The 23,652-nt window shown below is 37.4% G+C and overlaps 2 long non-coding RNA genes across 5 annotated transcripts in view, besides 3 other annotated features; one reads left to right on the top strand and one right to left on the bottom strand.

The window, feature by feature from the left end:
* Positions 1-23,652, top strand: part of LOC105369844 (uncharacterized) — a 310,508-nt gene that overhangs the window by 181,772 nt on the left and 105,084 nt on the right. For all 4 annotated transcript variants that reach the window (XR_007063375.1, XR_007063374.1, XR_007063376.1 and 1 more), the window contains one exon: positions 21,683-21,830. This is a non-coding gene — a long non-coding RNA (uncharacterized LOC105369844). The remainder of the gene's footprint in view (positions 1-21,682; positions 21,831-23,652) is intronic.
* Positions 508-3,811, bottom strand: LOC107984533 (uncharacterized). The gene is made up of 3 exons (XR_001749219.2): positions 3,704-3,811; positions 2,134-2,388; positions 508-672 (listed from the first exon to the last, which is right to left on the bottom strand). It is a non-coding gene; the product is annotated as an uncharacterized LOC107984533 (long non-coding RNA).
* Positions 10,542-10,742: a silencer, noted in NCBI's record as "peak1837 fragment used in MPRA reporter construct". NCBI's record gives its function as "represses an SCP1 promoter by STARR-seq MPRAs in K562 erythroleukemia cells {active_cell/tissue: K562}" and the evidence as "EXISTENCE:reporter gene assay evidence [ECO:0000049][PMID:32103011]".
* Positions 16,954-17,248: a silencer, noted in NCBI's record as "tiled region #10558; K562 Repressive DNase unmatched - State 8:EnhW". NCBI's record gives its function as "represses a minimal TATA promoter and a strong SV40 promoter by Sharpr-MPRA in K562 cells {active_cell/tissue: K562}" and the evidence as "EXISTENCE:reporter gene assay evidence [ECO:0000049][PMID:27701403]".
* Positions 20,072-20,655: an enhancer, noted in NCBI's record as "OCT4-NANOG hESC enhancer chr12:76026122-76026705 (GRCh37/hg19 assembly coordinates)". NCBI's record gives its function as "activates a minimal SCP1, AML or CMV promoter by ChIP-STARR-seq in naive H9 embryonic stem cells {active_cell/tissue: H9 hESC(naive)}" and the evidence as "EXISTENCE:reporter gene assay evidence [ECO:0000049][PMID:30033119]".

The raw sequence follows: 23,652 nt of genomic DNA, 5'->3' as shown, positions 1-23,652 counted from the left end.
TGGAGGAGGTGATTGTGGGAGCAGAGAAGTAGGTATGCCGCCCAGCCTAGCACACACCTTAAACCTCAGGATGGGACTGCTCTGTCCTAGAGCCTACCATCCCCTGCTGCCATGGGGAACTTCTTGTGGCCAACTTTCTTTCCAGTTCCTACCTATTGATATGCTGCTCATAAACAACACAGCCCTTCTTCTTTCACACTCACTCCTTCTGTTTGTCTTTCTCTTCCTCCATTCTTCTCCCATCTCCCTTCTGTTCTTTCTTCTCATCTTTCCTCTTCCCACACCTTTCTTTTCAGTTCTTGGACCATGAGTCCCTTTTCTTCCATGCTTCCCAGTAAGATTCAAAATCCCTCACAACATGTAGCATGTAGAAAAATGTAGTACCCTCTGTATTTAGCCACAGTCCTTCAAATGGTGCCCAGCAAGCCCAACCTTTTTCCATCAAAATGTCCAAGGTCCAAGATCATTTTTTATCTAAACAGAGCTGAGCCATGCCTCTCCCCAAGAAGGCAAAACTTCGTCTTTCCTTCTATTTATTTTAATAAAATTTATCCTTCCCAGTGTACTCACCTTATAGAGTTGCTGTAATGATAAGACAAAATATTTAAGTTGTGCAGTAAATCACTTCCAATTTTCAAATCATTTTGCCACATCATCCTCTCATAAATTGCGCTAAAACAACAAGAAAAATGATCAAGAAAAGTAGAAATTCCATCTTTAATAAAACTAAGAGACAGCTAAAACCCTGAACCACAATATACAAAAGTATACAGCAGATGGAAGAGTGATGATATGCAGTATCTGATTGACTTTCAATATCTGCATTTAGTTACGTAACTACCTGAAAGTTTTTCTTTAAGCTATGGATGTATATTTTATTTACATCAATAAAACTAATGGGTCTATTTAAGTGGTTTTTCTAAAATAAGAGTTAGTCTGTTCAGATATAAAGCCAAACTTTCGTGTTTTACGAGCTAGAAAATCTCCTGCTTTTTTAATGATGATAGCTTTTTATGGCAAGCAATCTTCAAGGTTTCTAAAAATATCTTAGGGTTTGGTTTTAAAAAACAGGGGCCCTATTTTTTTAAATACCTTGGATAATTCCCCCTGTAGAATGAGTAAGCCACAAGGTCATAACTCTTTCTTTGGTTTATTTCTTCCTATGAGAATGGAAATCTTCCTCATGTCAAATATAGCATCCACAGACAATCAGATATTACATGTTTCCCTTTTGGCTTAAGTAAAGAAATTCAAGGGAAACATGGACTTGAGAACCCCAAGATTCTGTCTGACTTTTTCATCGCTAGTGCCATTGGACATTTTTAGCCCCAGCATCATACTTCTGTGGGACTTTTCACTAAGCTCATAACACAGTGGGGGAAGTGCCAAGTTGGCTCCATATATAGGACATTTAGGAATTGTCCATTAAGGGAGTTTAATTGGTTTTGTTGCCTGGGGTAATACAAGTCAGGGCAAGATGTTCTTACTCCTACATAATGAATATCAATACAGGAAGATGAATGGTAAGTGGTTCCACCCCTCACCCCACAACCCTGTACTTTCCATAAAAAAGATAAAGCCCATGTCCAGATACTCAGAACAGGGAGAACAGCACAGTCCGCTCTTCTTTTGCTTTGTTTCTATATTAATAGTGATAAAAGAAGTTGAAGAATAGTTTTCCCTCACAGAGTTCCCTCCTGCATGATAAACATGTGGACAAAATTCTTTCTGATCTGTTCCAAGCCTCCCTGATCACCCTCAGAGGGAGCTCCGCATGGGAACATTTGCAGAATATTTGATAACTAACTGTGCTGTGGTTTGCAGATATGTGGTGCATATCCAAGCAAGAAAATTTAGCCTTTGCACTCTGGGAATTGACTGACCTAATTAGTCGATTCAGACCTTTCATCATGAGAAAACAATTTGTGCCTCTCTCAGCCCCATTTATGGTTAATGGGACAAATGAGAAAACAGGAGATTAAGGTAAAGAAGGAGAATGAATTGAGCTGGGACATAAACTTCAGTTACCACTTTGGACTAATTAAGGGATAAGGCTAGTTTGAAACAGTGAAAATTCTAATTAAGGGACATTTTTCAAGAAATGTAATGTTAATTTCAAACATGAATAATTACCATCAATAATGGTTGAAAACAGGCAGAGGTCATCCCAGGCCTGCTCAGAAGAACAGGGAAGGCTGTCTCCAAATTTGCACATTGCTTGCAGAAACCATTGCTGAAGTGCTCAGACAACTTTGCATTCTTTACAAGGATGTCAACAATAACATGGACTCTCTTTCTGTGGCACCCAGAAGTTAGCTTTTTTGCTCCATTTACTCATTCATTCAACAGATATTTTTTTGAGAACTTTTTAACTATCAGGATTCAGCACTGAACAAAAAAGAAAAGAATCTTGTCCCTCATGGAGCTTTGGGAGAAATAGGCAATAAGTACGTAAATAATTAAAATGTATAGCATGTCAGATGCTGTTGAGTGATATGGAAAAAATAAATTGAGTGGGAGAAGAATAGGGAATAGTGACAGGGGTGGAGAGAGAGGGCAGGGTTGCAGTTTCAAATAGCATGGTTGGAATAGGCCTTTTGGAGAAAGTTATGTCTGAGTAAAAACCTGAAGGTCATTGGCATGAATTCACCTGAGAGAATGAGTATTCCAAGTGGAGGGAAGAGCCAGTGCAAAGGCCCTGAGGCAGGAACACATTGGGCAAGGACTAGAGGTAGCAAGAAAACTGGTGTGGATGGAGTAGAGTGAATAAGGAAGAGGGTAAGTAGGAGTTTTATGGATAAGAGAGGAAATAGGTAGAAATGGGGGAACCAGATTACATAGGGCTGTCTAGGGGATTGTAAAGATTTCATTGATGCTTTGGACCATGGAGGTATATGCATTAAGAAGTGTAGCTTATGAATTTTTCTAAGTTAAAAGTTAGATTTGGTCAAAGTCTCTAGCCTTTGGGTAGTCTCAAGCATGCTAAGGTGTTTCTAAAATAATAACTACTTAAATAGCAGGCGATGAGAATTGCTCTCAATGTCTAAAGTTACAGATCTCATTCCCAGTAAAATTGCTAGTGAAAAGTAACCTAATTGACAAAGAATGCAATTGTCTCCCCAGAGAAAAGTAGCATTTAACTATGGGAATATTTAGAATTAGTATAAAAATTAGTATAAAAATGCTTAAAGGAATCAGAACCATAGTATTCATATTATGTTTAGAATTTATGCATAATTAGTATTACATATATCAATTTCAAATATATAACAGAATAATAGATTTTGGTGAATATTTCTGAGGTTATATATAGCACTAGAATATTAAAATAATTCTAATTTCACCATATAAAGTTAATTTGATTTATCTGAGTTTCTTAAGTATTATGGAAGAGCCTGTCAATCAGAAATTTTAACTTAAAAGGAAAATACAATGTATTAAATTTATAAACAACGTTTGTCATATTGAAAGTATTTAAGTTACCAAGGTTATAAGTGGAAACCAACCAGTATTATTCCAATCCCCATAACAAGCAGTTGTAAATATTTGCTAGATTTTTAAATTAGAATAAGAAGTTGAACATAAAAGCTCAAGGAAGAATTCAATTTCAGCATCTGTAACTTTAATAAAAGGTTATTAATAAAGTATCTCGAATAATCTTTTCTGCACACAAAACTACCCTTAATTGTACCAGAATGCTTACATTTATCAGCAGTCGTTTACTGTGTAGTTTCTAAAACTCCATTTTCTTGCCTTGTTCCTTCACTGCACTTTTTCTCACTCACAACTTCAGTTGCAGCACGTATTTTAATGAAATTACTATTTAGAAAAAAAGATTTCATGTAGGATCCTGAAAATTTTCTGAGTGTGCCTAGAGGGAATTGTGCAGCAGTATTCATGCCGTCTTTTATGCCATTGGGTGGGCTTTCCTTTGTTAATCATTGTTCTTCTGGAAAACTGGAATGCAGCCCGGGCAGAATTAATTTACAAGATTACAAGTTATGCACATCTCTTCTGGAGCAATTGGTCTTCCATTATACACCTTATTTCCTAAAATTTATCATTTTATAGCAAGAAATGTATGTTGTATGATAAAGAACAATGTGTTCCAGCTTGTGTCAGGCTAATGAGATATGAATTAAAGGATAATATTTATTCATCTGAATTAATTAGATAACTATGTTGCTCCATTTGAGGGAAGGCATTTTTAAATAATCTTGAAAATTACATTATAATCTACACCTTGAATTTCTGTTTTTGGTACCCTTTGAAGCAAACCACTCCTTGTGATAAATCACTCACTCTGTATACTTCTGGATCCCCAGCCACGTTTGGGTCAAACTTCAGAGCTTTTAGGATCTGGCTTTAAGAATAAAAACAGGCCCCCAGAGTTTGTTTGTTTATACATATTTATTTTTTCTCCCCAAACATATTAAGCAAGAAAAGACTATAAAAATCTAGAAAAATTAGCTTAAATAATGCTTGAAGACTTATAAATTTAGCTTTTATATTCATCTTTTATTTTGCTGCTATTCCTTATATAATTCATTAGTTCATGATTTTTGACATTACAATTTTATGACTTTTTGGGTTTTTTTGTATGTGTGTGTGGTGGGGAGTTTTCTCTAATAGGAATACATGTTTTTGCTAATATTTGTGGGGGAACTGGTGGAGATGCCAGCAAGTGGAGAAATCACTACCTTAATGGATGCCAGTGAAATAAAACTCAGGGGAACTACATGTACAGCAATTATCAAATACTGTCAATTACTTGTTAGAACATTTTTCCAGGAAAAAAAGGTTCGATAAAACTGAATGTTTTTTGTAATTGGAGGCAAAAGCTTTGGTCTTTCCTAAGTTTTACCTAGGTTTCTTCAAGAGGGCTCGCTGGCACCATCAACATTTTCACCCCAAGAGAGGGCATTTCTTCTGCTCAAAGCCCTGCGAATCCTGTCCCTGTCCCAACCTCCTCCTCTCCCAGCTCAATAAGAATTTTTCTCTCATAATTACATGAGAACTTGTGCCTATCTCTATTCTGACACATCACAATATGTCAATATAAAAATATTATTTATATTTCTTACTTCTCTACTAAATTAGATCCCTGAAGACAAGATATATTACACATATAACACGATAAAAATTATCAACAAGTGAAGCCTGTTGTGATAGGCTGTGTAGAATGGAGGAGAAGGCAATCAAGAGCCAAGATATTAGGGACAGAGCAAGACAAATGAGAAAGGTTTCTACTGGGGCAAAATGTGAGATACTCCTGGTATCTCACACGTTCAGGGTGCCTGAATATAGCAAGGGACCAAGAAGCTTGATGAAAATTTCCCAAGATCAGTCACGAATTTCTGTGAGCTATAGAAGAAAAGGTCACAAATTCTATTGATTTAAGTGCAACACAATTCCAAAACTGGACTACCAAGGAATTATAGCCTCATATGCCTCACACAGAGATCTTTGTTCCTGTTGTTCAAGATCTCAGTGCTTAGTGCAATGAATAGCTTATAGTAGATGCTCAATTAGTACTATTGATTGAATGTTGAACTGAAAGCTTTGTGCCATTCTCTGCTTTGCATAGGCTTATTTTTGTTCCTTGGAGTGGATGTTCCCTTTATATATATATATATATATATATATATAACATTTATATATTCCCTTTATATTCTGTATATTCTGGCTTTGTAGTAAATATTAAGTGATAATTAACTGTTATTAACCATCTGTTCAAGAAATGTGTACAAATGATACTGAACTTGCTTAACAAGCAAAATTTTCACTTGATTTGGGGGCATTTAAAGTTCACATTTGTGTCAGCAGACCAAAGAGTTAGAAGTAATGCAAAAACTTTTTATTATTAGATGAAGTGTTTGATTAATAGGAGCCCATATTGTGAATCCATGGATGTTAATTTCATGTTAGTTTCCTTTTTACTATCTACACATTATCTAACATTTATTGCTATGATTCTATTTCCTATGTGTTAGCAAATATTTTAGTGCTAGGAGGCAGGGGGAGAAAAAATTATGTAGGCTAGTTGGTTGAAGGTCCATGTAGTCAAGAGAGAATCCTTAGGGTAACAGACAATGCGAGGAGTATGTACTCTCTGGAAGCACTTCTGGAGGGCTTCTTTAATTTGGCATAAATAGGATCATTCATCCTTCTTTAACTGCTCTGACCATGCCGGCTACTCTGATTCTCATAGCTAAAATAGCTCAGTGGGAAAAGAGGGGGTGGTGACAAGGGCACCACAAGTAGAAATGACATAAAGGAAAGAGATTGCAGTGGGGGAGGGAGATATTGACTGGGTTATATGAAGCTGGGAAGAGAGATACGGAAAATAAACATAGCTATCTAAGCCCTCTTCTCTATAATTGTAAGAATTAACCTCAACGCAAATGGTCAACTCTCTATTTACCCCCTAATGGCCTTCTATAATGACCTCAAGGCCTCACCTTCACACTCCCAAGCTGTTCCCAGGCTACTGAGATAGGATGGAGCCTGACTGATTGTGGAGAATTTGTGTCAGAGAGTATTCTAAAGTCAAATGCAAGTGATTTGAGATTTTTCTTTTGCTTTATTTAAGTTGTCTCTTTTCCTCCTTTAGGGGTGGTTAATTAAACATTGGCTCCATGTTCCTGTTATAATATGAAAGTTTCCTTATTATTCTCACTTTGAATTCTCTAATTCATAATCTCCCTGATACTTAAAGCCAAGGCTTGCGAAAAGTTTCAAAAGACTTCTGGCTTATTTTTTTTTCCTAGCAACTTCTGGCATATTGCATTTGGTATTCCATCTTGAACTTTCAAAAAATACCATAATAAAAATCTATCATGAGAGATACTTACATAGCATCTCCAACATTCACAATTCTGAATATAATGATATTTTAATTTTCATTGAGAGCTCTTTCACTAGATTTTATTTTAGATGTACCCTAAATTCTTTGGGGCTTGAAGCTGACAGTAGATTGCTGGTTTGGGGGACAAGCACAGAAGCTCTTTAGAAAGCCATTAGATCTGAAATGTTGTAATGTGTTTATGACGGAACTACAAATGGTCAATCAGTTAGGATTATTTAGATCTGTTTATTTTACACTGTTACCTGTGGAGCTAGTGTCCAAGGAGATCTTGGGGAAGGGGGGTGAGTCTTCTAAGAAAAGAACATTGGGCAGGGTTCGATGCCCACCACCCATGTCTTCCCATGCCACAAATCCTATTTTTATATGTTTTCAAATGTTAGGCTTTCATACAAATTTATTTTGAATAAAGTACCTCATGGCTTAACAAGTTGAAAGCCTCTAATATACATGACTGGAGTTTCTTGAATAACAACGTATTGAATGCATTTATTTGGGGCATTCAATAATCTCTGGCATTCTAATGCTCCGGCATTCTAATAGCTAAAGGAGCAAAACTGGACACATTTTGCTTTATGGTTAGATTTTATTCTAAATGCCTGGGGACTTTACTTTCTTTTCCAAATATTCATATAATTTGGGCATGTGGATTTACAATAGCAGCACTTAGAAGAGCTTTTCTTCCTAGATCCTTTGGTGATGACTTGAATGTACTGCAGAAAGATCACTATAGATGTCTTAATAATTGAGTCTGTTGGGATGTTTTCAACTGCAAATGATAAAAAGTTGAACCCTGACTGGTCCAGGTGATTTATGGATTCACATTCCTAAAATCACCAGAGGTAAAGGTGGTTTTGGAATGAATTCGGTGCCTCAAGGGGCTGTCAGTGCTCTATCTGTTAGACCAATTGGCCCCATTCTTAGGTAAGTTCATCTCTAATAGGTGGAAGACGGTTTTAGACATTCATCTAACCTCAACAACTCTGGTAGAAAATAAAGTTTCCCAACAATTAGGAAAAAAAATATCAATTTTCATTCTCATTAGCTCTGAACATGCATGTCTCTGAAGCAGCAAGACTGACAATATTCAATTATATGCCCAGTCCTGGGAGTTTGGGGTGTGGTCAGTCCCGTCTAAACCACAGAGATTGAGAATGGATGAGGGGTGGCTTACCCAGAGGAAATCAGAATATTGTTGACAAAAGGTGAAAATCGAGGCAGAATGGCAAGTATAACAAATGCCCATTTCAGTTATGCATGACTTTTTGTTCCAAACAGCTATGTTTTCAATCAGCATTAAAAATCTAAGATAGTAACCTGTTTTTCTGTTCAAAGGTCTTTAAAAAAAAAAAAAGCAGAGTAAAAATAAAATGCTACATTAAAAGAACTAAATCAAAATATCAAAAACTGAAGTAAGTTTTAGTCATAATTTGATTCTCTCATTTCCTTCCATTTTTCCCCTGGGTAAACACCTGAAAGGCACATATCTGATGGGTTGAGGAGTGTGAGAGCCTGACTGGGAAATTATTTTATTACAGAAGTCACAAAAATATCTTCTTTTCTCAGTCTTCCTGCTTTTTTCACACAAAGAAGAAACAGAAAAATGAATTTCAATAGTGACAGCTCAAGTGTTTCTTTTTCAGCGGTAACTTTCTCTCTCCCTTTTCAGCTTCCTCTCTTTGCTGCTCCTCTTGATCCTACCAAAGACCTTGCCCAGGTTACCACTGGGATCAAGAAAATTAGGGAATCTTGCACAGAGGTGAGAAATGGCAAATGGGCGTTCTAGCCTGTGGGATAATCATCTACATTAGTGTAGAGTGAAGGCGTCTCATGCCTCTTTGGAAAGAAAATTCCACAAGAGCAACAGGGAGAGACTGCAATCTCATGACAGCCTGCTCAGGCTTTCCCATTATTTGTGATATAAATTATCATATAAACTAAACACTGGTATTTTTAAACTGTTATCTGCCACTGTTTCTCGATTTTGTGCCCATGCCTTGGTGTCAACCATCCCTGGGTCTTTAATTTCAAACACTATGTCCTTGTATTTGGGGATCTCCCCCAAATTGTGAATGACTTTCCTCTATGGGCCTGACCCAAAGTTGACTGTATTAAATGCCATGAAATAAAAATTTCTGGATACCAAAGAGAGAAATGAGTCAAATAGTTAAACATTAAATTCCCTATTAAAAATAATTCTTATATCATTGTTATCAGTTTTGTATCTGAAGATGGGAAACTATGTGTTGAAACCATACTGGGCCCTGAGATGGTATTTTGATTCATGTTAGGGCACATAAACTAAAAGGACTACCATAGCTTTCAGTTTAGCCTCTGCAAGAATATCTGGGGCATCTACTATAGCCCCTGGAGGGAGGGTCTTTGCCATTTCTACTCCATTCCAGAGCTCTGAGAACAATGTTGTGGCTGATAGTAAAAACCACCAGATCCTCTGCAGGAATAATTGTATTAGCCCATGTGTAGACAAGGGCACAGTCTTAGACCCTTCAACAAAGGAATATACTTTATTATTTATTTTTACTTTTTCGAGACAGAGTCTTGCTCTGTTGCCCAGGCTGGAGTGCAGTGGTGCAGTCTCAGCTCACTGCAACCTCTGCCTCCTGGGTTCAAGCGATTCTCCTGCCTCAGTCTCCTGAGTAGCTGGGATTACAGGTACCCACCACCATGCCAGGCTAATTTTTGTATTTTCAGTAGAGATGGGGTTTCCCCATGTTGGCCAGGCTGTTCTCAAACTCCTTATCTCAAATGATCCGCCCACCTCGACCTCCCAAAGTGTTGGGATTACAGTCATGAGGCACTGCGCCTGGCCAAAGGGATATTCTTTAAATAGCTTAGTAAGACATGATTCCATAAGTGATGATGGAATCTCTGAAACAAAACTGTGGAATTTTCATATGTTACAGAACAGTGTTATCCAATAGACATGTAATGTGTAAAGTTTTAAATTTTCATGGTGCCGTATTTTTTAAAAAGTTAGAAAACAGATGAATTATGTTGTTAATGTATTTTAACTATCATGTGAAAATAATATAATTTATATTATTTCAGCATATAATCAATATAAAACTTATTAATGAGTTTTTCCCCTCCAAACTAAATATTCAAAATCTGTGTGTATTTTATTCTTACAGCCAGTCTCAATTTGGACTAGCCAATCTTCAAGGGCTAAATAGCCACATGTCACTAGTGGCAATTAGTTGCTAATCTTGGATGGTGGAGTTATAGAGTCTCCTGAGATTGAATATACAGAAATTCGTACATCTCAAGATGCAGTAATCTTTAGCATGTCTTGCTTAGGAATAAGGGTCACAAATTATTATTCTGTTCTCAAAACAAGTCATTAAATGTCAGGTTGATAGGACATTCAAGCTTCAAAGTTGAGCGGGGAAGTATAGATTTTCCCATAGATCTCCTATAACTTCTTTTGAGGCTTTGTTCATATTATTTTTGCTTTGTTTTGTCTTGGGCTTTAAACCAACTTGATATAAAAACTACATAGTTAGTTTTTGTTCTAAAATGAGACAGCCTTACCTAAGTAATTTCAACTAATTTTTTAAAATGGACTGTAATTATTGTTTTTAGAACTGTGCTGTTTTCTTAGATGTCATTAAAGAAACTGCTGTGGGAGATGAGTAAGAGCATGTCTATTTCTATTCCAGGAATATTTTACTTGTTAACCTCGTGGTTGATAAAATTATGATCAATTAGTCAGAATGTAAGCTGCATGAAACCATGTGATAAATTGTTCCTCAATTAGAAAGTTGGTTTGCCTCCTTATTAACTTGCTTATTTTCCTTCTTTTTCTTATAGCTGTCCTTCCTGATAGATATTTTTATTATGGGTGTTATAAAATCAAACTTATATTTTAATTTTTACCATAGTAATAAGCTCTTGGACACACACACACACACACACACACACACACACACACACACATATTTAGATAATACATTGTAGTACAAAAAATTTGTTAAATAACTGTTTTCTTTTTTTATTTCTAAATCTCAGTTTATACCAGAGAGTAACCACTGAATAGTACCTAAAGAGAAGTTAACAATGGTTATGAAAATATAAATTACCTTTACTATAATTATTTTGCCTTTTGGAAATGCTTAACAAGATTATGGATAATTTATTATCCAACATTGATACATGACAACTCTCAGAGATGCCTGTCATTGGTAGCTGCCTGGATTAATTTTATATTGCTGCATAACACATTACCACAAGCTTAGTGGCTTAAAACTTAGCTTATTATCTCATAGCTTTGTTGGTTGGAATTCTGGGTAGAATATAACTAGGTTCTCTGTTCAGGGTCCTGTAAGGCTAAAATTAAGGTGTCAGCTGGGGCTGGGGTCTTATCTGAGGCTTAGGACCCTCTTCCAAGCTCATGGGGTCATTGGCAGAATTTGTTTCCCTGCAGCTGTCGATCTTGTGGACTTTGTGTCTTTAAGACCAGCAGGAAAATTCTCTTATGCTTCAAATCTCCTCTCAGAAAGGGCACATTCTCTTCTAAGGGTTCACCTGGTTAGGTCAAGCCCACCAAGGATAATCACCCTTTTGATGAACTCAAAGTAAACTATTTAGGGCCCTTAATTACATCTACAAAATCCCTGTTGCCATATAACTAATCTTGGGTATAACATCAGGGAGTGGAGATAGTGGAAGATCTTAGAATTTTGCCTACCAAATTTTCCACATGCCTTCAACACCCTCTATTCATTTGATACTTCTCCACATTGTGAGCTCCATTTTCCAAGGGTAATTTGAAAAGAAAAAAAAAAAATCTGCATTCTCAGACTCCCTTGTGGCTAAGCTGCAGATGTGTAACTATGGTTTTGTAAGTTAGAGGCGGAAGTGAGACTTAACCGTGGAGGTGAACTGTAGCAAGAAACAAACTGGGGATGATTCATTCCTTTTGCTAATGTGGGGGTGGTGGTGGCCATGGTAACTTCCTGCTCAGGCCAGTTCTTTGGTGTGGTTCTGAGGAATGGTTCCGGAGGGGCTAATCTTGAGACTATTCCTCAGCCCACCCAACAGTTCTCTGAGCTGTCTAATATCTTTCAATAAATTCATTTTTCTACCTACGCTAGCCACAGTAGCACCACAGTAGATTGTGGTGCTTACAAAATAGCCCCAACAGGCACAATTCCTAATCTTCCTTGTATATACTTTATGACTCTGGAGGAAATAATGTCTTTCTAATAAGATGAAATTCAATTAAAGCATTTTCCCTGCTTAGAGAAAATGGCTGTGGTTTATTAAAGAAGCATTTGATGTCTATTCCTTCTCAACTATTATCTTATTTGCATTTTCTGGAACATGATTAGTTATAATGTACTATAAGTTTTCATAAAACCAACATGAAAATAATTATGCCTGAATTATATGCATTCCATAAATATCATCTAGCTATCTCCTCATTTCATATTACCTCCTTCCTTTCCCTCAATTGCCACAACACTGTTAAGAGATATAAATAAATCATTAATACTTGATTTTCGGATATATGCTCTTGCTTTTGAGCTTGAGATATTAAAAAATCTCAGTTGACTATAGTTTACCTTGAAATGTTCCTCCCATGAAGGCATTTGACTTTTTTGGTTATTGTTGACTGATAACAACAAGCTAGTTCATGCTGAATAATTGTGTGAAACTCTTTTCTACACAATTTTCAAAATTCTAAACAAGTTGCATTTTTACTACGCTTGTAATTTTTTTCTTTAGGTTTATGTTGTATGACTAATTGCATTCTAAATTCCAGGAGAAAAGGTGTGAATACCTGCAGAGTATTTTGTAAATAAACATTGATTAGGCAAAAAATGCCATGTTTTCTTTCATATGATTTCAAACTGATGGTATTTTTCTGTTTTTATTTTATATATACCATAGTAACATTTTTAATCAGTACCATATGCCCAAACTTCCTTTTTATGGAAAATAACCTATTCCTAACGATAAGTAATCCTGTCTTTAAACACACACGTACACACACACACACACACACACACACGATACACTCATTATTAAATATTTTGTACCGGAAATAGTCTGTGATTCAGTGCTTAAATTGTTTAATAAATGATAAAATATTTTGCAGATTGGCCTCAGTGTAAGGTGAATAGTGATTTTTCAATGATCTTTTGTTCAGCTCCAGTGTTTCCTTCATACCACCAAACTCACACTCTGCTTATACCTAGATTTGCATCCTGCTGCTCCTGCTAACTCGCTGAGTGGCAGTGTGGCCTAGTGGATACTCTTTTGGCTTTTTGTTTTCTCATCTCTAAAATTAGGAAGCAGATTCTATGATTCTAAAATTTATCTACAAGTGGCCATTATTTATGTAAAGTAGTGTTAGTAGCTTTATTAAGGACATCATTTTTATCATGATATCATTTATCATTATTTTTTCAAATGTAGTTCCTGCTGAGAGTCTCTACTACTCTACTGTGTTTTCTCCTGTCTTATTTTATACTCAGGAAACATTTTGGCTAGTGTATATGTGCGCATGTGTGTGCATGTGTGTACTTTTAGTGCTTTCCCTGTGGAGCTGTGTAAGAGACATCATCAAGGGGATCTTATGGTTAATGACAGTTGTTTAATGCAATTACTGTATTTTACAAGTGATCAATTTCATTTAACAAAGTGCTAGTGAACTCACAGAGTTTGCACCATTTTTTAACCAGCTCCAGTCACTAGCCAATTCATAAAAATAAGAATGTACCTCTGGAATGGAGAGAGAAATTTATTTTACCTAAATGTTCAATCGGATGAAAATTTCCTGTTCCCAAAAAACATTTTTTTGGATACTTTAACGATTGCCAAATATTCTTTTAAATTTTCAATTCCAAATTGTTAGTGGGACATTCCATTGACAGGGCTCAGTGTCAGTGGGTCCTGAACTAGAACAAAGAAGTATTCATAAGCTTGGTATTTCCTGGACCTTTAAAAATCCAGGTATAAGGTAGTATCAATTAGGATTTGTTGGTTGTAAGAAGCAGAAATTAACTTTTTACTAAATAAATTGAACTTATTAGAAAGATCAAATAGCTCAGAGAAGTAAAAGAAAAGCTTTACGAGCCAGCCTGGGCTGGGTGTGGTGGCTCACGCCTGTAATCCCAGCACTTTGTGAGGTCAAGGCGGGCCGATTGCTTGAGGTCAGGAGTTTGAGACCAGTCTGGCCAGCATAGCGAAACCCTATCTCTAATAAAAATACAAAAGTTAACCGAGTGTGATGGTGTGTGCCTGTAATCCCAGCTACTCTAGAGGCTGAGGCAGGAGAATCGCCTGAACCAGGGGGGCAGAGGTTGCCATGTGTCAAGATCGCACCACTTCACTCTAGCCTGGGTGGCAGAGTGAGACTCCATGTCAGGAAAAAAATAAATAAATAAACAGAGCCAGACTGAAGAAACAGCAGGAACCCGAACAGCCAAACAGCTCGGGGCATCTAGATGCAGGGATACCAATTATCTTAAATGTTAAAGATGCACTGGGGATGAATTGGCTTCAGACATTCCAGTTGTGCAAACAGGTGTTCAATCGGCACCCATTCCAATTCCTTCTTTCTTCTTTCACTATTGGAAGTCAGGAAATGAAAATACTTAATTTCCTAGTCTCCCAGTTAGGGTTGTCTATGGGACACAGTTATAGCCTTCAGCAGAATTTCCCGACCCTATGCTTTCTAACTTCTTTTTATCTGGAAGGTAAAAGTGATGCCTGGAGCTGCAATGGCCAACCTATGACCATGAGAACTGCAACCACATTGTAAAGATAGTGGTGCAGGAAAATAGAAGGGGCTTTCCTGTCTGATAACATCAGTGAGCTGGTATACCTGTCCTGGCCTACTATCCCCAAAATTATTATTTTGGACCTAAAATGCCTTACTCAATTAAGCTGCCAAGTTGTGGTGGTTTTTTGTTTCTGTAATTAAACACAATTTTAACTGACAGTCTTTCAAGGTTTATTTTCTGATTGAATGAATTTAGGTTATAACTGCAACCCTTGGCCAAGGGAGTCCTGGATGCTATTGTTTAACAGTCTCACTGTGGCAGAAACAGCTAGATGGTCTTCTTATCCATTTCCTGTCTTTCTGAGCATGGTCAGAACACATTTCTAATCTCTTTTCTCATTAGGTATAGTCATGGGACTGACATCCAGTCATTAGAATATGAGCAGAAATGATATATGCCAGTTCCTGATGTGCCCTATAGAAATCTTCCCTACATGTTCAAGCTCCTTTCTGTCTCCAGATGAATAAATCGAAGACGATTCCCAGATGACATTGGCAATTGTGTTTTGCGATGGAGAAGTTTCAAGATGGAAGGAACCAGGGTCTTTGAGTCCTCTGAACTACTCAAAGGAGGATAGCCATACTAGAAATACTCATTGGACCTTTATGTGAGCAAGAAATCATTAAAAAAATTTTTTTTGAGGCAACTGAAATTTTGGCACTAGATATTAAGCCTTACCTTAACTAATACACCCACTAAGATTGTGTGAAGTTGGGGGAGAAGGAGCTCCTCTGGGAATATGAAGATGTCATTGCCATAAGAAAGAAAATAAGTGATAGGCAGGCAAGAATAACAGCCATTCACCACAGCAGCCCCTGTAATGATCCACTGGACACCTTATTTGCATATCAATTTATGAGCCATTAATGGGGGCCCTGGTAGTCTGAGTAATGGCCTCCCAAAGACATCCATGTCCTAATCCCAGAAGCCTATAAATATATTACCTTATATGACAAAGGGGAATTAAGGCAGCAAATAGAATTAAGGTTGCTAATCAGATGATCTTAAATTAAGGAGATTGTTCTGGACTATCCAGGTGATATGTAATTATAAGGGACCTTAAAAATGGAAGAGAGAGGCAAATGAGGAGATCAGAGTGATTCCAAGTGGGAAGGACTTCCCTCGCCTATTCTAGTTTTGAAAATAGAAAGAAGGCAGCTTCAAGCCAAGGAATATGCATGATCTCTAGAAGTTGGAAAAGGCAAGGAAATAGATCCTACCTAGACCCTACAGAAAGGAATACAACAATGCAGTCCTGCTGGTGCCTTGATTTTAGCTGATGCCTTGATTTTAGCCAATATCTTGATTTTAACCTGATGAGACCTGCCAGACTTCTGGTTTGCAGAACATTAGATGATAAATTTATATTGTTCTAAGCCATTATGTTTGTGACAATTTGTTACAGCAGTAATAGGAAACAAATACAGGGACGTAGGCATTTTACTTTAGTTAATTGGAATACGCCAATAAAGACATCTCCCCTTAAGAGGAGAGAGTCAAGAAAACAAACAATTTCAAAGTGCACTTAATTGAAGGGTGGAAGTGTGTGGGTGTGGCGGGGGGTGCAGGGAATGTTGGAAGTAAGAAAAGCAGGGAGAGCAAAAAGATTTCCAGGAGGAAGAGTAGTCTAGATAAAAGCCTGGAAGTAAAAGAGAACTTTAAAAATTTATGTAAGTCATTCTAATTAACAAGAAGACAGAATTTGAGAACGATGATGCTTGAGAGTTGAACAAGGCTAAGATCACGAAGGGTCTGGTAAATCCACCAGGAGCTTAGACTTTCTACAGATGACAATGGGGAGACCTTAAAGGGTTAGGAAATGAACAGACATGGCTAGATCCATTCTAGATGGAGTCTGATTTCAATGTGAATGATGTATTAAGAGGGGATGGATCTGGAAGCAGAAAGGCCAATCAGGAGTTTGCCACAGAACCTTGGGCAAGTGATGGTAGGAATCTGGCATAGCACAATGATAGTAAGAGTGAAAAGTAGATGGATTTCAGAAATATAGAGTAGAGCCTATAGACTAGATAGATGCCTTTGGCTTGGGCAACAGTGTGAAAGGTGATGTGATTCATCCAGCTAGAAATACAGGATGAGAAGGAGGTAGGTGTAAGGAGAAAGAGTGGGGAAATAATGTGTTTATGGTTTTACTTTATCATCACAATCATCATCATCATTGTAACAATACTTACAACAGTACGATATCAGCTGAAATTATACTGTCATGTATGTATCTGTTTATGTGGTCACTGTCAGCAAACTTCACAAGGGCAAAGGACATCATCTTATTCACTAGAACCTGGGAACGCTGCACACAAGTTCCTTCACCCAATAACATTAGAGGTTCTATTTTGTACCCAAGTAAAACTGAGACCTCTCTGAGAATTGCCTGGTGGTTAGCTGGGGCAGGGAGAGAAGGCTTACTCACACTCAGCAGGAAGAAGGTCATTCTGTGGTCATAACTCAGTAAACTTCAAAGTGCTGTTTGAAAAGGTTGCTGATGGAATACGTTTTAAAAGGATTACTGTATGTATGCAGTAAAACATGAAGGGGATGTTTTGTTGATTTCAACTTTTTTCTCAAACCGCTGAAAAGCAGCATTGTCTCATATGGTGGGGGGGCTGAATTTTCTCATCAATCTCTAGTGCCTAGAACAATACCTGGAACGTGGTTGGTGCTCAAGCGATATTTATTTATTTTTGTGTGAGCCAGGCACTGTTCTAAGGACATAAATTCTTACAGCACTATTTTGAGGTTTTAATTATTCCGACTTTAAGAATGAGAAAACAGGCTGAGAAATCCCACAATTCAAACTCAAATCTGGCTACAAAGCCCATTATTTTAATCATTCTATTACTCAATTTGTGGGACGTGTGGAACATCCAAGTGCTAATATCTGGTAGATAGTTGAAAATATGGGTCTGAGTTCAAGATAAAAATCTAGCCTATAGATACACTTTTCAAAACCATTGGCATTTAAATGTCATATGACAGTAAGTGGGTAAAATAATGTTACCAAGGCAGTGACTTTCAAACGTATTGACTACAGTCAGCAGTAGATTTTTTTTTTTTACAGAGACCTACAGAGACCTACTACACACACAGACACACACAGACATGCACACACACAGATCTCCTTTTACAATTCCTACCCCATTAAATGTGATAAATTCTGTTGCTTTCTATTCCATTTTCTTCTATGCAATTCTATTTCATTTAAAAATGCTACTTGCAACCCATGAGATTGGTGACATCAGCCATCAGTAGGTTGTCCTCTGCAGTTTGAAAAGCACTGCCTTTAGTAATTTGTGATAAAGAAGCCACGAACTGGCAACCCACTGACCATTTCTGTCATGGAGATGTATTCTCTTTAGCATGCTATTTCTGGCATGTAGATATGTTATCCTCGAGCAAATTTTTAAACATCAGAGATTTCAAATGAAAGCCTGAATTTCAGATTGTCTTGAGAAATGGAAAAAAATTTGCTAATGGTTATGTTGCCTATTGGCTGACATTGGCTGAAGCTGAGAAACAGCTGCTTCCTGTTTTCCATAGACACATCCACTCCTTCTTATCTCCCTGACATTGAATACCAGCTGCCATTTAAAATTATGCTTGTATTTGTTTTCTGTTGTGGTGGTTGTTGTTTTTCTAAGAGAAAAGGTATTTCTTTACTTTATCAAAGATGGAAAAAGTAAAGAGTAAGAGAGTCACATAATTTTTCCTTCCTACCACCTGCTTCATTTATTCATGTCATCTACAGATCTGTGTTATCACTTGGGTTTGTGAGCCACAGTCTAGAGTGTTAAAAGAGAGGCTGCTAATACCCACAAGAAAAGGGAGAAAAAAGAGCCCTAGAAAAATACTAAAAAGGAATTACCAGAGGGTTTAGGAGAAAATCCATAAGAATAGGACACCAGGGGTTAAGAGCATCCAGTTTAGGCTTTATGGTATTTTAATGTCAAAGGCATTTGTTGATCTACTTGGCAAAAACTGTCAAAGAAGATTCTCTTCTCTTTAGACAATTCAACTCAGTATCTTACCCCGAAAGTCAGGAAGATACAAAAATAAAGGATTTTAGCAATGGGGACCTGTATTAACATGCTAGGGTTTAATAAAAAATATTATCATGTCACACTAATAAAAATATTATCATCTTACACTTTATGTTAGAGGATGAAGATGTGGAATGCAGTTTGCCAGACATTATTTTGGTGATGGTTTTTGGATTGAGTGAGAAAATGGTTCTTGCACATGCACTGCTCTTTGAAATAGGGTTCATGAGACAGAGGTGGTAGTGGAAGCCCTTGTCTCAGTGTGGATTGGGACTGAGCACTTTAGCATAACTTTAGCCATCCATTTGAGTGTCTCAAATTACCCTACCGATGGATCCAGGAGCCTGGTACTATTACTGAGGTCAGAATTGTGACATGATAATATTTTTATTAAGCCTTAAGTCTGTGCTAGCATTGGCTACCATCATGGCATATCATCGAAGTGGGTATATGCCTTGGTCGGTTTGGGATACTGTAACAAAATACTATCAACTAGGTGGCTTACAGAAAGTAGAACTTTATTTCTTACAGTTCTGGAGGTTGGGAAGCCCAAGATGAACGTGAAGGCATGGGCAGATTTGGTGTCTGGTGAGGACCCACTTCTGGTTTATAGATGACACCTTCTCACTGTGTCCTCACATGGTGGAAAGTACCAGGAGTCTCTCTTGGGCCATTTTTTTTTTTTTTTTGAGATAGTGTCTTGCTCTTGTCGCCCAGGCTGGAGTGCAATGGCATGATCTTGGCTCACTGCATCCTCCACCCCCAGGCTCAAGTGATTCCCCTGCCTCAGCCTCCTGAGTAGCTGGGATTACAGACACCCACCATCATGCCCAGCTAATTTTTGTATTTTTAGTAGAGATGGGGTTTCACCATGTTGGCCAGGCTGGTCTTGAACCCCTGACCTCAGGTGATCCACCTTGGACCTTTTTTATAAGGGCACTAATTTGGTCCATGAGGGTTCCATTCTCATGATCTAATCACTTCACAGAGGTTCTACCTCTTAATCTCATCGCTTGTGGATTAGAATTTAAACATAAAAATTTGGGGGGGGGGGGCGGATCACAAACACTCAGATCATAATAGCATATAAAATGAGTTGAAGTCCTAGGAAAAAGGCTTTGAGAGAAGGAGTTAGTTTGCATAGGGAAATCATTTACAATCAGTATTAACTGAGGGTACTCCTTATAGTGGCTGGAATAATATATCATTTGAATAAATTGGTGGTCTTCAATTTTGATTGCACCACCAAAGAATCAAAAGTTACTCAAGAATTAACAACTGAATATCGCATTAGACAATTTGAAGGAGGGAAACAAAATAAGCTCTGCTATAATTTTCAAAAAATGACGAAACTTTTTACACAAATTAAAAATAATTTCAAAAAGGATTTTCACCTTAGCATTAGTCTTTTTTGTTTAATAATAAAGGAAGGAGAAGAAACAAAAAGAAAAGATAGACTATTTTTGCCTAAATGTCATTCTTAGAAGCAGAGAAGTATTTACTTTTCTTTTGTTCCTTCAAATCCTAAGAGGGCAGTACAAGCTGGAGCTTCTCTTCCTTTTCATTTGCCAGGAAACAGCACACAAAGGCAAGGCTTCTCTTAGCAGGGCAGAGACATTTGTTTTCTTTTTTTCTATTCCCTGTTGAGCTGAGCCTTTAAACAGAAATCTATCCGCTGTGCTTCTATTGTGTTGTGAGCACCATGACTTATGTTTATTCTTTATAGATCACGTTTTCCATGTTTTACCATGTTAGCGAGTTAAAATGAGTACATATTTTGAGGTATTCACAAGTGGACAATTTATAATTCTTTGGTTATGACTAAAGGTTGAGTTGCTAAAATATCATAAAGGGATATTTGCCTAGAATTAATATATGTAAAATACTCTGTGTTAAGTAGCCAGCCATAGCACATAAACTAATGAAATCTCCAGGAACTGAGATTTTACAATAATTAAGATAATGCTTATAGGTAATATACATTATAATGAGAATTTTATTTTTCTATGGAAGATTGGTAAAAATAGCCAACATGACGTATAGGGCAAAAATGACTTCTTAGTATTTGTCGGTCTAAACAGGGTCACTTTCCTACCTCAAAGTCATCTATCAAATAAATCCTTCTTCCCCCATGGAGGGAAATCAACTAGTTTAGCTGAAGTCTCTCCAATGTGAAGCAGCCAGCCAAGAGAAAAGGAGAGGATCCAGAAGCTGAGAGATGCTTTACTTAGTCAAGTTGGCAGGAGAAGACACAATGAGAGAATGATGAGCTATGCATATTTAGAGAATTGGACAAGAGATAAATAAATAGTAGCAGCTGTGGTCTGGACGTGTCCCCTCCAAAATTCGGGTGTTGAAACATAATGGCCAATATAATGGCGTTAAGGGGCCTTTAAGAGGTGATTAGGCCAATGAGGGTTCCCTCTCTGGTGAATGGGATTAAGGCCCTTATAAAAGAGGCATAATTAATGCTTTGGCTCCCTCACCCTTCTGCCTTTTACCATGTGAGGACAACACATTCCTCCCCTTGAAGGATGCAGCACCAGGTGCCATCTTGGAAACAGAGAGTAGCACTCACCAGATGACCAAACCTGTCAACACCTTGATCTTGGACTTCCTAGCCTCCTGCACTGTGAAAATAAATGCCCGTTTTTCACAAATCAGCCAATCTCAAGTATTTTTGTTATGGCAGCATAAAACTAAGAGAGTAGCTCTTGTGATTAGAGTGGATGTGGCTTTCATTTCAATTAGAATGGATGTGGCTTTTCAATTGCAATAGGGTCTTACTACTTACGTAACAATACTATTGATATTTTACATGTATTCTGCATACTTTCATTTGAGACCTACTCATGTATTATTCTATATGATCCTCAGAAAAACTTGGTGAGGAAGTAATAGAAGGCTCTATTAATAATAATAACTTTGTTATTATTCTCATTTTACAGGTAAAGAAACCAAGGCTTAGAGACCTGCTCACAGTCGTTTCGTGAGGGAATGCAACATCTGGGTCTAGGGTCCAAATCTATCTCTGCTGTGAAGAGGAACTCATACAGGAGATCTACATGATTACCAATTCTTGGCCTTGCAGTGGAGGTAAGTCTTTTTATCAGCCTTTCAAAGCTGCCTATAGATACCTAGGCATCTATAGGATTTTATAGAGATCATTAGGATTTTATAGAGCTCTTCATATTTTATGGGGCTAATTTTAGCCAATCTTGAGATTGTGGTCATGTTTCTGTAACTATTGATTAACTCAGCAAATATCATAGAGGAAATTATAAGATATTTAATATATGATTGTTGAATAAATGAAAAGATCTGTGATGAGCATAGCAAGATCAATGTATTTCTAGGTCATAGCTAATGATAAAATATATAAAGCAATTATTTGCTTTTCACATTTTATGATTTTATAGTGACAAAACCTATTTTTTATCTCAAAAGCCTCAAAGGCCAGAAGCTTTTTTTTTTTTTTTTTTTTTTTAATAATTTAACCTCAAGTAGGGTTGTGGACATGTGGCCAAGATTGTTGCTGCAGGGAAACTTAAGCATAGAGAAAAGGAAATAAAGAAGCAAGGACAGTGACAGTTCAGTCTGGTGAGAGTGTCAGCATCCAGCAGCAGCTATGGCAGTGGCAAGAGTAGTAGGGTGTCCGGTGGCCACGACTAGCAGGGCTAAAAGCAGCTTTGTTCTAGCCAGACTTTTCCTTTGTGTCATTTCAGTTGTGGTTTTGGCCTTCTAAGGGCTTTGTTCCTCCCCATTTTCCAAGGCTCTTTTTCTAGTTATTCTGGCTATTCTGTGAGCCACTTGATATCTTTCTGTTTTAGTTAGGATTCTCCAGAGAAACAACCAATAGGACATGCATATATAAAGAGATTTAGTATTTAGTATAGGGCATTGGCTCACGTGACTATGGAGTCTGGAAAGTCTCAAGATCTGCAGGGCAAGTGGACAAGCTGGAGACCTGGGAGATCCCATGGTGTAGTTCCAGTCTGAAGCCTGGCAGCCTGGGGACCCAGGAAGAACCAATGTTTCAGTTCAAGTTTCAAAAAAGGAAAAAGCCAATATCCAGTTCAAATGCAGTCAGGAAAGCAGAATTTTATCTTACTCCAGGGAGGTCAGCCTTTCATTCTATTCAGACCTTTCGTCAACCAATTGAATGGTTGCCCACAGAAATTGAGGGGGAGCAATCTGTTTTATTCAGTCTACCAATTTAAATATTAACCTCATCCAAAACTACCATTATAGAAATACCCAGAATAATGTTTGACCCAATATCTGGGCACCCAGTAACCCAATCAAGTTGACACATAAAATTCAACATGTTTTTCAATAGGTACTTTTCTGCTCCAGTTCACTGGAGTTAGTTTCTGTTGCTTGTAAATAAAAAAACTTCAATTGATTAGTTGCACAGATGAATGTTTATGTAAAAACTATTTACAAACAGAACAGTATGTGTTAGTCACTATCCTGGATGTTAAGAATACTGCAGTGAATACAATCAACAAGATATTTGCCTTTATGGAGATGAAATTTTAGTGAAGAGTAGAAAACAATAAATAAGAAAATAAAGGATAAAATAATGCCAGCTAGTAATAAGTGGTATGGAAACAACAATGACAGACCTACAGAAAGTAACGGGGAGCAGGGGAGTTCCACTTTGGATTAGAAAGTTAGAAGATTTCTCTGAAAAGATGATATTTGAGCCAAGACCTGAATGCAAAAAAGAAGGCAGATGTGGTAAAGTCTAGGAGCAAGGCATTCCTGGCACAGAGAATAGCAAGGCCAAGTTCCTGCAGTGGGAATGAACTTAGTGTGATTGAACAACAGTAAAAAGGAGAGTATAGTTACAGCCCAGTGAGGAAAGGGTTAGTAGTGCAAGATGAAGTCAGATGTGGAAGAGGTTCAGATTTTA

The sequence above is a fragment of the Homo sapiens genome, chromosome 12, assembly GCF_000001405.40.
Source record: "Homo sapiens chromosome 12, GRCh38.p14 Primary Assembly".
In the NCBI taxonomy this organism is placed as follows: Eukaryota; Metazoa; Chordata; class Mammalia; order Primates; family Hominidae; genus Homo; species Homo sapiens.
Note: the sequence above shows the minus strand (reverse complement) of the source record. Positions and strands in the feature narration are given on the sequence as shown.